Source organism: Homo sapiens, chromosome 9, assembly GCF_000001405.40.
Source record: "Homo sapiens chromosome 9, GRCh38.p14 Primary Assembly".
Classification (NCBI taxonomy): Eukaryota; Metazoa; Chordata; class Mammalia; order Primates; family Hominidae; genus Homo; species Homo sapiens.
Genome location: NC_000009.12, coordinates 127,665,570 through 127,680,630, shown reverse-complemented (window position 1 = coordinate 127,680,630; position 15,061 = coordinate 127,665,570). Strand labels below are relative to the sequence as shown.

The 15,061-nt window shown below is 47.6% G+C and overlaps 1 protein-coding gene across 12 annotated transcripts in view; it reads right to left on the bottom strand.

Annotated features, from left to right (window-relative positions):
* Positions 1-15,061, bottom strand: part of STXBP1 (syntaxin binding protein 1) — an 84,118-nt gene that overhangs the window by 15,399 nt on the left and 53,658 nt on the right. For 11 of the 12 annotated variants that reach the window (NM_001374309.2, NM_001374314.1, NM_001374308.2 and 8 more), the window contains 9 exons: positions 14,335-14,465; positions 12,444-12,551; positions 10,673-10,733; positions 8,515-8,580; positions 7,370-7,450; positions 4,689-4,827; positions 3,878-3,987; positions 2,099-2,200; positions 389-474 (listed from right to left, as the gene is read on the bottom strand). In NM_001374309.2, the coding sequence (NP_001361238.1) occupies positions 389-474; positions 2,099-2,200; positions 3,878-3,987; positions 4,689-4,827; positions 7,370-7,450; positions 8,515-8,580; positions 10,673-10,733; positions 12,444-12,551; positions 14,335-14,465 (884 nt within the window). The remainder of the gene's footprint in view (positions 1-388; positions 475-2,098; positions 2,201-3,877; positions 3,988-4,688; positions 4,828-7,369; positions 7,451-8,514; positions 8,581-10,672; positions 10,734-12,443; positions 12,552-14,334; positions 14,466-15,061) is intronic. The other variant, NM_001374315.2, reaches the window with a different exon arrangement.

The window sequence follows — 15,061 nt, the reverse complement described above, 5'->3', positions numbered from 1 at the left end:
TCCCAAAGTTCTGGGATTACAGGTGTGAGCTACTGTGCCCAGCCCATGCAGACATATCTGGGGACAGATAATTTCAGGCAGAGGGAAAAGCAAGTGCAGTGGTCCTGAGGCAGACGTAAGCCTGACTGTTTGAGAAGTGCGAGGAAGCTGGCATGGCTGATGCAGAGTGAGCGAGGGAGGAGGTGTGAGGGATGAATCAGAGAGGAACGGGATGCTGGAGGGGGAAGGGCCGTGGGACCACTGTGCAGACCTGGCCCACGCTGCAGCTGTGGGGAGCAGCAGCGAGAGGGCTCTGGTAGATCACACAGCCGTACAGTGGGTCTGCCGCAGAGCTGACATCCAACCAGAGCTGGCTCCCCTCTGTCCTTGCTAAGGGATTTTCACCTACCTGACGGCGGTGGTGCTGAAGGAGGCAGAGGAACGGGTAGAGATATAAGGGTAGTGTTTGGTGTCAAGTTTGTCCTCAATAGTGTCCTAGAAGGAAAAGAGACAGATATTAGCTTGCCATCTGTCTGAAAAGTGCTGATAGGAACCAAGGCCAGATGATCTGTAGAACATGTCACTTGGCAAAGCCATGGCCAGGTTTGCAACAACCAGAGCTCCCTTCCCTGCGGCCAGAGGTGCCTAGCACAGGGCTCAGTTATAGCAGATGCTTTGTAACTAGCTGCTACACTGAGATAGCCTGCTTTTTAAGAGAAGTTTTTTCTTGCTTCTCTTCCAGTTTATTCACTTTCATAATCTATGTGAGGTTTTATAAATGATGCATTCTGTCCAATAAATTCCTGATACTTGCCATCAGCCTTGTAGAAACCAGGCACAAGCAGTGTCTCTCCTGCATGAAGAAGCCTTACCCCCTCCGTTTTTCAAGTGTCTAATTATCTGGTGGGTGGACTCTCACCATCTACCTCCTGCTGCCTAGAAATCCACACTCTTCTTTACAGCTCCCACATGAAGCCTACACATGTCTCTTTAGGGGATCGGAGAGGAGGGGGAGCAAAAGGGAGCAGAGAACAAAGGAAGGAATGAGACAGAGGGGTTGGCTATCCCAACAAGCAAAGAGATATAATTGGTTTCTAGATGTTTCATGTTCACCCATCCTTTTAGTTTGTGGATTTTAAAAATGGGAGCTGACTCACTCTATATATTTAAAATACATTTATATTAATGTACAATTCAATAGGAACACCTGGGCTGCCAGGAATTAACTAAGGGATCCCGAGAAAAACCCCTTCATTCTCTAGACCCCAGTTTTGTTCACTAATCAAGTTGGAAAGATCTAGTGGTGCAGGATTCTATGCAGGGTCTCTTCCCGCTACAAGGAGAGAAGGGAGTGACCCCACAGGGCTACTGCGGTGGCCACCACCTTATACACCTTCCAGCCAACAACTGCAAAAACACCTGCTGCACTAGAGGCTCTGTGCAGATGACACAGCAGCTGAGGGGACAGGACCAACAAACAAAAAGGCGACCCGAGGCACCAAGAGGCACATGTGCACTAAGGAGTCCAGGGGAGGCCCCTGTGTGCTGAGTGGTCAGACAGGTGGGGCGGCAGATGGAAATGGTAAGATTCAAGAGGGGCTTGGATGGAAAGCAGGATCTGGGAAGGGGAGTGGAGGGGTGAGAATATGCCAGGCAAGGGGCTGCTTTGGCCAGAGGAGCAGAATCCGATTTGCTGGTGTGTGGAGGCTCAGGTAGGGAACAGCAGGAGGAGGGCAGGGCGGGGCAGGCAGGGCCGTGCTGGGGAAGTGTGCTGAGCCACTGCACCTGTGTGGAGATGTGATGTCACTCATCTGACCTTTGAGATACACTTGGACCCCTCTGGATGCGGCACCCTAGAGGAGTCTCTATTATAGGAGCTGAGTCCTCCAAGACATAACAACAAATAGATCTGGGGCTGTGCTTCACAGTCTCTCAGCTCTTCAGAAACCCCCAGGCAAGGGGCACCATGAGGGCCGAAGGAGGCCTGGATGCAAATCCTCAAGTGGAGGCAGTACCTGTGAAGTCAGCAGCACCTCGCCGCAGGTGAAGCTGGAAGCATCCAGGCTGACAAGCCAAGGGCCCTGGGCCTGGTTTTTCCTCCCTGTGCCCCAGCACTAACCTCCATGATGTCCTTGATAATCGGAGTCCACCGTGAGAGCTGGTAGGTCTGCTCGCTGATGCGTTCCTTCCGCTCCGGCTTGCTCCGGCGACGCAGCGTGGACTGCATGCACACACACACCAGGTTAGAACCTGAGTCAGGGCCACTTGGGCCCTAGGTGACCTCTGCTACTCTCTGGAAATTCCCTGAAGGAACCCAGAGGCAGCACTGGCAAAGAGTAATGGTGGGGGGATGGTTTTCCATGGAATAGCCCTAAATGTGCCCTTTTGGGAACCTGGAGCAAACTTGTTCTTTAGTCATAAAAAGGCCGGGCTTGGTGGCTCACACCTGTAATCCCAGCACTTTGGGAGGCTGAGGTGAGCAGATCACCTGAGGTCAGGAGTTCACGACCAGTCTGGCCAACATGGCGAAACCCCGTCTCTACTAAAAATACAAAAATTAGCCGGGCGTGGTGGTGTGCACCTGTAATCCCAGCTACTCAGGAGGCTGAGGCAGGAGAATTGCTTGAATGTGGGAGGTGGAGGTTGCAGCGAGCCAAAATCTCACCACTGCACTCCATCCTGGGCTACAGAGTGAGACTCTATCTCAAAAAAAAAAAAAAAAAAAAGTTATAAAAAAGGGCAAACATAGGTCAAGTATGTAAGTGCCATTAAAAAGAAAAAACTCAGCCGGGCGCGGTGGCTCACGCCTGTAATCCCAGCACTTTGGGAGGCCGAGGCGGGCGGATCACGAGGTCAGGAGATCGAGACCATCCTGGCTAACACGGTGAAACCCTGTCTCTACTAAAAATACAAAAAATTAGCCGGGCGTGGTAGCGGGTGCCTGTAGTCCCAGCTACTCGGAAGGCTGAGGCAGGAGAATGGCGTGAACCCGGGAGGCGGAGCTTGCAGTGAGCCGAGATCGCGCCACTGCACTCCAGCCTGGGCGACAGAGCGAGACTCCGTCTCAAAAAAAAAAAAAGAAAAAAGAAAAAACTCCAGGCAGTTGAAACAGTAGTTTGCTGCCTATTAGAGGAGGGCATACTGCTTGGAGCATGCCGTATTGGATTTCAGCAGCACAGTTGCACTGAATGAATGCACATCTCCATTCTCATTTTGATCCCTCTTGTGAACAAGGGTTTAAAAATGCCAAACTCCTGCTAGTTACAGGGCTATGGTCTGGTGGCACTAGAACAGTTTTGTCTATAAGATTCCAGAGGGAGAATATTTGCAACCCTAGCTTTGTTAGTGCTGTGCCTATAGAAGACAAGCACACAGTGGGGCTGTGACAGGCAAGGTTCATGGCAGAGTCCTCTGCAAGGGTCCTGGAGGCTTCACCCCACCTCTTCTAGAGCACATCACGTGGTCCAGGCCTCCCAGACAACCTGCCCTGACTTGGCTCTGAACCAACCCAGTGCAGAAGACTCAAAGGTGGCCAAACTGCTAGCTCTAAGTGTCATATTCTCATCTTCACAGGGGACACTGAGGCTAAGCTGTCCAAAGGTGAGGCCAGACAGACCCTGAGACAAGACAGATAAAATGGCGGGGACCCCTGTTATGGTTTGGTTCCAAGACATCTCAGCTTTCACAACTGTGAATGACTCACTGCTGTTGACGTCTAGGTTCTTGGCTTTGTGTCTCTGATTTATATATAGCTTTACACCTTTATCCCTCTGATTCTGTGTCTCTCTCTCTTGACGTACGAGTGTGTATCAGAGATGCTGTATGTCAGTCAGAGCAGAAGCAGACAGATCTGCCAGCTCCCTTCCCACCTCCCCCGGAAGCTGAGCTGGCCTCTTACATCGGTGACGATGGGCACGCCGAGGTGAGCCATGTTGGTGATGATCTCACTATCCTCCGGGGGTATCTGGGCGTGCTGGATCAGTTTGTTCAGGTTTTCCTCCGTGATGCCTGAGGGCACAAGACACCCGATCACCACACACAGCCCCCATGCACCCAATGGGACAGGCCGGATGGTGGCCCTTCTCCCCTCAGGGTTAGTGGACATTGCTCCCCCACCTCATCAGATTCACTATAGGTGAGGACAACACGAGGATCCCGATTCCCCTCCAGCCACTCTGCCTGAGTGAGGACCATCAGCAGCTGCCCCTATAGTCTGTGTTTCCATCTGCCCCCCGGCTTCTCAGCAACCCCTGCCCACCCCCACCCTGAATCAAGGTCAAATTGGACAAGAGTCTTATTATCTATCTTTTGTACAATGGACATTCCTGGGAAACTGTGATTGAACTGGGTAAAAGTCAGTTCTTTAAAGGCAGAGATTACCAATGTGATGCAAGTTAAAAATACGTGATGGGCATAGCTCTGGTAAACTGGCCACAAGGCCAAGCAGCTTTCCCTCTCTCCCCAGCCCTGTCCTCTTCCATCTACTCCATACCATTTATTAACTCTACAATGACTGGGGGACATTCAGCCTCTAGCTGCAACGATCTGACTACACTGCATTTCCCCAAACAAAAAGGGCCCCTAGGATCTTCTTTTCCTTCCCCAGTCCATGTCTTTTAAATGACTTCTCTGCTTTGTTTCCTCTTTCTCAGTTGTCTCAGTTTCCCCAAGACAGGGTCTGTGCCTTCCTCTAGGTCCCACAGCCCTACCATTCTTCAAAAAGATGTAGAGAAGGATGATGCGGATTTTGTCATAAGTGCTGACATTGGCATCCAGCAGAATGGGGACGATGGCTCGCATAGGGTCCTTGATCTTCTCTCCCTCAGCATCTGTGCCCATGGCCAGGTCCTAAGGAAAACACACCTCATTGGCTCCATCTCTCTGGTGACAGTGTGGAGGAACAGTAGTTCTTAGGAAATTCAGGATCCACAAATGTCTAGAACTGCCACCTTGGTTGGGGAAGGTCTTAAACAGGTGCTTCTGTTCTTATAATGCACTGTAGTTAGCAGGAGTGTGATCAGCATTGTCTCCCACAGCATCAGTGAGGGTGGATAAAAGCCCTGAGTGCCACTTGCCCAACAGAAACCACAATGATTTACCATCTTGTTTTAAAGTAGGCTGTTCACTGTAGGTGAGTGCCAGTGTACTTGTGCCAGCTTCTCAGATAAAGACTCAATCCTGGCTGGGGGCGGTGGCTCATGCCTGTAATCTCCGCACTTTGGAAGGCTGAGGTGGGAGGATCTTTTGAGCCCAGGAGTTTTGAGACCAGCCTGGGCAACACAGCAGAGACCTCATCTTTACCAAGGCATGGTGGCACATGCCTGTAGTCCCAGCTACTCAGGAGGCTGAGGCAGGAGGATTGCTTGAGCCCAGGAGTTCAAGGCTGCAGTGAGCTATGATTGCGCCACTGCACTCTAGCCTGGGTGACAGAGCAAGACCCTGGCTCATAACAAAAAAAAAAGACTAAATCTTGGTAGGCCCTCTAGAGGTACAAGGCCCTGTGAGGGAGCGGGACTTAAAGGGATGTGCTTCCCTCCCATGAAAAGTGCTGGGATTTTAGGATGCCTCCGCGTGGGTAGATTCTTTCCATTCTGCTTCCCCTCACATTGAAGCACATGCTTTTTGAGTTTGAACTGCTCCAGGCTTTTAACGTGTTTTTAATCTTTCTACCATGTTTCATGAGTGAGGAAGGGAAAAAAAGAGCCCCCAAACCAGCAAATCCAAACCCCAGGAGATGAAGGGGAAGATATGGGCTGAAAAAGAACTAGACATGAAAAAGAGTGAAGTGAACACAAGTTCCTGGCCCCGCTTCATGATGCAGGCAAGACTCAGATCCAGAGAAGGCAGCACGCTGGTCTCAGCCAACCAGGACTCACAGCTGCAGCTTCCTTTGTGGCTCTTAGGAGGTTGCCTGAAGGCTCTCTTTTTTTCTCTCAAGATCCCAAGAGTCCATACAAATTCTGATCTCGAGTTCATAGTCTCTCTCCAGTCTGTGTCCCAGGAAGGCAGGACACCTCTCACAGGCCGTTCACCTTTCAGTCCTACCACCAGCCTCAACAGACATTTGACTAGCAGGACATGATTTTAATAATGCAACTAGTTCAACAATACTTTTGATCACTTCTGAAAATTTGTAAACTTCCAAAATTAATCCCAAACTACATTTTTACTGATTTAGGTATGACCTATTTTCTAGATGGTCAGGTTCTTTTCAAGAGGACACCTTGTGTTTGCTATAATCCCCTATAAAATTGATGGATTTTAGCAGGGCTGCTTCCCCTTATAAAATATCCAAAGATACAGGACAGGGCTTACAATCCTAAACTGAGCCTGTCACACCAAACCAGAGGATTGAAATCTTAGCTTCACACTGAGATCCTGAATTGTTTTTTTCTATGAAAAGAGGCCAAGCTGAGGCTTCGGAATCTTATTATTATTATTTTTGAGACAGAGTCTCGTTCTGTTGCCCAGGCTGGAGTGCAGTGGAGCAATCTCTGTTCACTGCAACCTCCGCCTCCCGAGTTCGAGCGATTCTCCTGCCTCAGCCCCCCAAGTAGCTGGGATTACAGGCGCCAGCTACCACGCCCAATTAATTTTTGTATTTTTAGTAGAGATGGGGTTTCACTGTGTTGCCCAAGCTGGTCTTGAACTCCTGACTTCATGATCCGCCCGTCTCGGCCTCCCAAAGTGCTGGAATTACAGGCGTGAGCCACCACGCCCAGCCGGCTTCAGAATCTTTTAACATCTTCTCTTCGCTTAGAATTTGAACCATGGTTTTATAATGTTGAAACACTTGAAGAATTAGGATGAATCTAAGCCAGGATTAGTGACTCCACAAGACAACCTTGAAAAATGTCAGCAATGATTTCCCTTTTGCAGATGAAAAAAATGAAACACAAAGAAACAGGCACATCAAATAATCAGTGACAGAGACAGAACTCAAACCCCAAATTCTCAATTTACAATCCCAATTGTGATCAGGGATGCTTTGGGCAAATTTCTGATTGCTACTGCTCTACCCTCTGTCAGCCTCGAGGTCTCCAAAGCTGGTCTGGCCATGGCAAGAGTAGAACACATTCAGAATATAAAATTCTGCCAGTCCTGTCAATGTAGGGCTCAGAACCCCACACATCTTTCTTCACTCATTCCAGGGAAAACAGAGCCTTTCAAAATAGGCATGCAAAATCCAAACGGCACAGCATTCCAGACCAATCTAGTCCCTACCATGGACAGTGGAACCGCACTGGCTCCAGAGTTGAGACAGCATGATCTAGCAGGCCTTCCCGTCTCTATTTCCTATGATTCTGCAGGATGTTCAAGGGCAGATGTTAAAATTCTGCTGGGTAAATAGGCCTGGCAAAAACTTGCCGTGGCAGAAGGAGAGTCCTACCTGCTCCACTCGGCAGAGTTTGTCTACGGTGCCTTGGTAATGCTTCATACAGTCCTCAGCAAGGTGCAGGTGGGTGGAGTACTAGGAAAAAGCACAACAGTTTGTGACCAAGGGACTAATCATGGATGCATGCAACATCTACTGAGCACCTACTACGTATAAAACACCACTGGGCACCAAGGAGTCGCTAGCCTCAGAAAGGAGGTAAAAAGTGTGTACAAGCGGGTACACAAACATCACAAAGTAGAAAGTGTTACATGTCAAAAGAGAGGGACAAACCACATTCTAAAAGAGTTAAGACAAAGGAGAAATCCTTTATGAGGGTAGGTGGCACCATGGTTTTTATTTGAGACAGAGTCTTGCTCTGTTGCGCAGGCTGGAGTGCAGTGGTGCAACCTCGGTTCACTGCAACGTTTGCCTCCTGGGTTCAAGTGATTCTCCTGCCTCAGCCTCCTGAGTAGCTAGGATTACAGGCACGTGCCACCACGCCCGGCTAATTTTTGTACTTATAGTAGAGACAGGGTTTCACCATGTTGGCCAGGTTGGTCTCGAACTCCTGATCTCAGGTGATCTGCCCACCTCGGTCTCCCAAAGTGCTGGGATTACAGGCATGAGCCACCACACCCAGCCAATGATGGTTTTATTACTACAATGTGTCCACAGATTCTTTGATACTCCTCCTTTTAGGAGGCAGAGCTTCATTCCCTCCTTAACTGTAGGCTGGAATTAGTAGCTTGCTTCTAACAAACAATGTGGAGGAACTGATAATGCATGGCATCCAGGATCGGGACATAAAAGGTATTGTGACTTCCTCCTAGCACTCTCTCTCTCAGATGGCTCACTCTGGGGAAAGCCAATGGCCCTGTTGGGAGGATGCTCAAGGAGCCCTGTGGAGAGGCCCATGTGGTGAGGAACTGAGGCCTCCTGCCAACAGCAAGGGAATAGGAAGGAAAAGATAAAGAGGAGAAAAGAAAGTGACAGGAAATAAGGTGCCTATCCCAGCCTTTCATTTCTTTTCTAATAAAAATTGAAGATAACTAAATCTGTGAATTTCCATGAATCAATTAGAGTAGTAGGGCTTTGAGAAGTCTTTTTGCAGCTGTTTCTACTCAATTATTCAAACAGATGATTTGGGGCTGCCATACCTTGCTGAGCTCTTTCTGGTACTGAGGCATCTTCTTCAGCATCTGGGACAGGTCCCGCATGGTGGTCTGTAAGGGAAAGGAAAGCACATGGTGTCACTCTAATGGCCCTGATGTTAGGAGGCTTTGCAAGGCTAGTGGGCACAGGACAGGACAGCTGCCCACACTAGGGTTCCCAAGCGCACACTCTGTAACACTCAAAATGAATCTGTGAAACACAAAATCATGTGTGTTTAGATTTCCAGGCCTCTGGCTCAAAATTTTTTTTGATCCAAATATGATTGTCTTATAGGTTGGGAACTGAACTCTGAAGTCTAGCAGTTATATTTTATTCTATGCTTATTGGACTAGAAAGCTGTTGAGAGCTAATTCTTGCTGAGGAAAAAAAATCCTTCTATTCACTGCTTTTCTTCATCCTCAGCTCAAGCAGCCTTAGCATCAAGTTTGCACTTCCTCCTGGCAGAAAGACTGTGGCTACGTGGACGGGAGGAGCACAGGGAGGTCACAGAGGGTGGGAATCTGCACCCAATGGGCAAGACAGGTCTGTGTGCTTTCTGTGTGGGCCATCTAATCCCATCCATTTACCCAACAAAAATTTACTGAATTACTACTATATACCAGGAACTATTAGGTGCTGGAGATACAAGGACAAAAGAAAAAAAAAAAAGAATCTCTAATTCACGGAGAATCAGAGCATCCAGGAGAGGAGCCAAAGCACTGCAGAGATCAGGGCCCTTCGAGGGGACTCACCAGGTAGTGTGGGTGCACGTGGCACAGGCATCTGCCTAGTCTGGGTAGGGACCCGGGGAGGGTTTCCCTGAGGAAATGATGCCTGAGCCAAAGAACCTGGCCAGGTCTGAGGCAAGAGGACACTGGTGTGGCTGGAGCAAGGAGGCAGGGCAACAAGGATAGGGGCAGAGATGAGACCAGAGAGAGGCCTGTGGGGCTGATGATCTGGGCTTTGGAAGGGGGGTGTGTGTGTGTGTGTGTGTGTGTTGCAGATGGGAGTTATTCTAAGGGGAACAAGAAGTCCCTAAATGGTTTTAAGCAAGTGAGTAACACAACCAGAGTTGTATTTTGGTAATTCCACTTCCCTTGACGAAGACAGGTGTGCCACCTCTGATAAACAGGCAGGATAGGGAGAGGCCCAGGTAAGGTAGGTTATAAATTCTATAAGGTAGGTTATAATTATATATATATAATTTTATATATATAAATAAGGTAGATTATAATTTTACCACAAGTTAAAAAAAGGTCTCACAGTTCATTCTTCTGGCTTAAAATGAATCATGATCCAAAAGAGTAAATATTAACCATCAGAGTAACAAAAAGCAGTTCTCTGTAAATATCAAAATGTAGGGGCTCTGGATCTGTATCTTTTTTTTGTTTGTTTGTTTTAGACAGAGTCTGACTCTGTCACCCAGGCTGGAGTGCAATGGCATGGTCTTGCCTCACTGCAATCTCCACCTCCCGGGTTCAAGCAATTCTCCTGCCTCAGCCTCCCAAGTAGCTGGGATTACAGGTGCCCACTACCACACCAAGATAATTTTTTGTATTTTTAGTAGAGACAGGGTTTCACCATGTTGACAAGGGTGGTCTCGAACTCCTGACCTTGTGATCCACTTGCCTCGGCCTCCCAAAGTGCTGGGATTACAGGTGTGAGCCACCATGCCCGGCCTGGATCTGTATCTTAAATGTAAAAATGGCCGGGCACGGTGGCTCATGCCTGTAATCCTAGCACTTTGGGAGGCCAAGGTGGGTGGATAGCTGGAGGTCAGGAGTACAAAACCAGCCTGGCCAAGATGGTGAAACCCCGTCTCTACTAAAAATACAAAAAAATTAGCCAGGGGTGGTGGCGCGTGCCTCTAATCCCAGCTACTCAGGAGGCTGAGGCAGGAGAATCGCTTGAACCCAAAATGCGGAGGTTGCAGTAAGCCAAGATCCTGTCACTGCACCTCAGCCTGGGAAAAAGAGCGAGACTCTGTCAAAATAATAATAATAATAATAAAAGCAAAATAAAAATAAGGCAAAATGATATAAACTAAGAGAGGGATATGGCCTTGCTAACCCACTAGTCCTGTTTGGAGGAGGCAGCTTCCCTGCTCTTAGAGAGAAAGCAGGGACTAATTTACTGGGCATTTGAGCACTGGCATGGGTTTACCTTCTCTCCAGTATTCATTCTCTTGCTAGAAGAAAAATCTTTCAGAGACCGGGTGACTTCCCTGGAAGATAAAAGGAGGCAGCTAAGTTTCACAGCAACACCATGGACCTTGCTATGGATGCTATAGGAGTCATGCAATTTTTCCTTTAGGAGTATGTGGTGAGTTTTCCTGCCAGTAAGGTATGCATTTAAAGTTATTTTTGGCCGGGTGTGGTGGCTCACGCCTGTAATCCCAGCACTTTGGGAGGCCAAGGTGGGCAGATCACCTGAGGTTGGGAGTTCGAGACCAGCCTGGTCTATATGGTGAAACCCCATCTCTACTAAAAATACAAAAATTAGCTGGGCATGGTGGCACACTTCTGTAATCCCAGCTACTTGGGAGGCTGAGGCATGAGAATTGCTTGAACCTGGGAGGCAGAGGTGGCAGTGAGCCAAGATCAGGCCACTGCACTCCAGCCTGGGTGACAGAGCAAGGCTCAGTCTCAAAAAGAAAAAGAAAAAGAAAAAGAAGTTATTTTCTAAGAGAGAAGAGAGACACATAGCTTTTCTAATTAATATTTGAAACCAGTGGTCTCCAGAGTGGGGTGTACCAGATTATTCAAGGAGAAAAGAGAAGAAAATATTAGAATATCTACTTATGTTTATTTTACCTCATTCTTTTCAAATTTATATTGGAATATAAATAGTGAAACATAATTCATGTTTGAAAAATATACAAACATATATATTTATGCTGTAAATACACACATTAGTACAATAAAGCATATTTTAAATTCATAAATACATTTAATTTACTGAAATATGGGTTAATATCTTTTTTATTTTTTGAGATGGAGTTTTACTCTGTCATCCAGGCTGGAGTGCAATGGCAAAATCTTGGCTCACTGCAACCTCCAACTCCCGGGTTCAAGTGATTGTCCTGCCTCAGCCACCCGAGTAGCTGGGACTATAGGCGCACGCCACCACACTCAGCTAATTTTTGTATTTTTAGTAGAGACTGGGTTTTACCATGTTGGCCAGGCTGGTCTCGAATTCCTGACCTCAGGTGATCCACCTGCCTCGGCCTCCCAAAGTGCTGGGATTACAGGTGTGAGCCACCACGCCTGGCCACAGGTTAGTATCTTTTTAAGTTGAGTGATCAAAAAAGTTTAGAGACCTCTTCTCTAAACAACAGAACTATCCAAGGCTGTATTATTTTCTCACTCTTCCTTGGGCATTTCCTGAATATATCACCAACTCACTGTAGCAGAATATGTCTTTCTGAAAAAGCAGAATCATTATCTACAGCTTAAAGGTCTTACAACAATGTTTAAATATTAGAAACATTCTGAAACATTTTCAGAGCTGGATACAGTTTAGTAGGGAGACATCAGCTATTGCTCAGGAACTGTAGGTAAAACAGGGAAGGCTGTATACCAGCTATAAAAAAGAAAGTCCAATTGTATACTGTGGTGTTTGGGTCTTTCAATAGAATGAACTAGCTTTAAATTTTTAATGTTTGTAATGCATTTTTCTGAGAGAGCTACATATGTTTTCCAAGAATCCTAAAAGCAGCCCTAATACAGAATTGATTTTCTAACTTCATGAAGTCGGAGTAGCTCAAGCTCAGAGAACAGAAGGGATTTATCATTACGGGTTAGCATGTTGGTGACTCTGCCAAGAAAACGAATTCACACAGTGATGAGCCCCCGCGAGGTGCCCAGAGTGAACGCATCATCAATAGCAGCTGGGTAGAGGCGCCTCGCTGGAGAAGGGGGCAGGGGGCTCTTACTGGGACACCTCTGCGATGTGCTTGTGGCGCAGTGCTATCCACAGGTCGTCGTCCTCGTCCAGGAGCACCTCCTTCACCCGTGCCTCCCCGATGCCGCTGGTCTCATACCTAGAATGGAGACGGGACTCAGGTGGAGTGCACTGTCTCCACAACATTCATCGAACCCTCTTCAGCTTACAGCAGCAGCAGCTCACCACCCTCAGCTGCCAGATGTTCACAAGTGCCGTCACAACATTGGACCTGTCAGCCAGGCTTGCTGTGGCAGCACTGACCCGGGCTGCAATTCCTCGGGTAGGAGAGATTCAAAGCTCTCTTCAAAGTCAACCAATTTGAAATTCTGTCTTAAAATCTTTTGGGTCAGCTGATACAAGCTCCACCTGAGCTGTCTGGTCCAGGGCATGAAGTCAGGTCATACATGAGTTTAGTTATTTATAGGGGAAAGGCAAAGATCACATCTGTCCCTCTGGAAAGGCACTGGGATGTCATCCTCAATGTGTGGCGCCTAAATAGCTTCCAGCAGCTGCCTGCAATAGGCCCTCAGCACCAATCACATGGGAAATCGTGAACAGCTGGAGGAGGCACAAATTATAGCTACCAACAGGGAGAACCGAGATTCACTCATATTTTTAGAATCTTCATTTTGAAACCACTATCTTTATGATGGATGCTATTAAATGCCATGAGAACAATGTCTGTTCTCATACAGTCTGTTTCTTATACAGTCTGGTTCCACAAAAGGAAAAACTGGTTTTTAGAAACTAAATTTCTGATGATTGCTACCAAGAAAAATGTTTTTTACAAATGAAGAAAACAGCTCCTCTGTGAGGAAAGTTCAGTATGAAACTTCTGTTGATATATTTCATCATCATCATATTTCAGGATCTATAAACAAGAAGTTTCAACTCTGCCTCCAGAGAGGCAGAACCAATAAAACAGAAAGAAAAAATTTCAACTCTGAATGAGATACACACATAAACACAAAAATCAATATTAACATATCCAAGTAGGCTATGACCTGAGGTGCTGTGAGCTGGGAACCAAAGACCTAAAGTGCTTGTCCTCCCCAAAAAGAGGACAAGTCATGAGTTCCTGCCTAGAAATGCCACATGGATTTGGGGAACTCGCAGAAGAACTTACAGGCTAATTTGCAAGGCTGTATCAATGAACCGTTTTTCCTAGGGTTAAAAATGCTCTTTTGCTGGGCGCTGTGGCTCACACCTATAATCCCAGCACTTTGGGAGGCTGAGGCGGGCGGATCATGAGGTCAGGAGTTCGAGACCAGGCTGGCCAACATGGTGAAACCCCGTCTCTACTAAAGATACAAAAAATTAGCCAGATGTGGTGGTGGGCACCTGTAATCCCAGCTACTCGGGAGGCTGAGGCAGGAGAATTGCTTGAACCCAGGAGGCGGAGGTTGCAGTGAGCTGAGATTGCGCCAATGCACTCCAGCCTGGGTGACAGGGCGAGACTTCGTCTTAAGAAAACAACAAACAAAAAAAACTCTCTTTTTCTGCCAGGTGTGGTAGCTCATGCCTGTAATCTCAGCACTTTGGGAGGCTGAGGCGGGCGGATCACGAGGTCAGGAGTTTGAGACCAGCCTGGCCAGCACAGTGAAATCCCATCTCTACTAAAAAAATACAAAAAGTTAGCTGGGCATGGTGGCACATGCCTGTAACCCCAGCTACTTGGGAGGCTGAGGCAGGAGAATTGCTTGAACCTGGGAGGCAGAGGTTGCAGTGAGCTGAGATTGTGCCACTGCACTCCCGCTTGGGTGACAGAGCGAGACTCCATCTCAAAACAAACAAACAAAAAAACCCGTTCTTTTTCTAGACATATTTTTGGCTCATGTGCAGAGCCGTATACACTCTGGGGTCTGTAACACTATACTTACTTGTATACATCATTTTCGATAGGCAGCAGATCATAACTCATAGCCTGAAAAGTCAATTCATGGAGCACAGGGGAGCTGGGGTCAAAGCCTCGATCCAGGATCAGGAGCTGGGAGCGTGCCTTGTCTGGGCCCTGGGGGAAAACAGGGAGATGCTTCACAAGCCACCCAGCCAACTCCGGCTTCTCCACCTAGCGAACCCCTCTTGTAAAGGAGGGCAGCAGGAAGCAAACTCTGAGGTGCAAAGTTACTAACGCAGCACAGAAGTCTACTGCTAGACAAGATCACCAAAAATACCCTAAAAGACTCCAGTGTTTCTATTTCATAGCAAGCGCACTTAGGGGCAGATATGAAACGCTAGGAGCCGAAGTGAGTTTCTGTAGGAAACTGCCCAAGTTCAACTACAAATGGGGCAACCACCCTCCAGTGTGCCTGGGACTAAGCGGGTTCCCAGGACCTGGGCCTTTCAGTTTTAAAATCAAGGTGGTGAGGAAACAGCCCTGTATCTTGATTGTAAGATGGTTACATGACTCTATCCATGTGTAAAACGCACAGGGCTGTACACAGAGCATGTGTAAAAACCAGTGAATATCTATCCATGTGTAAAACGCACAGGGCTGTACACAGAGCATGTGTAAAAACCAGTGAATGCTGAATGAGCTCTGAAGCGTGTGTCTGTCGATTTTCTGGTTTGCTATTATGCTTCTGGGGGTTTCCCGGGACTTGGGCC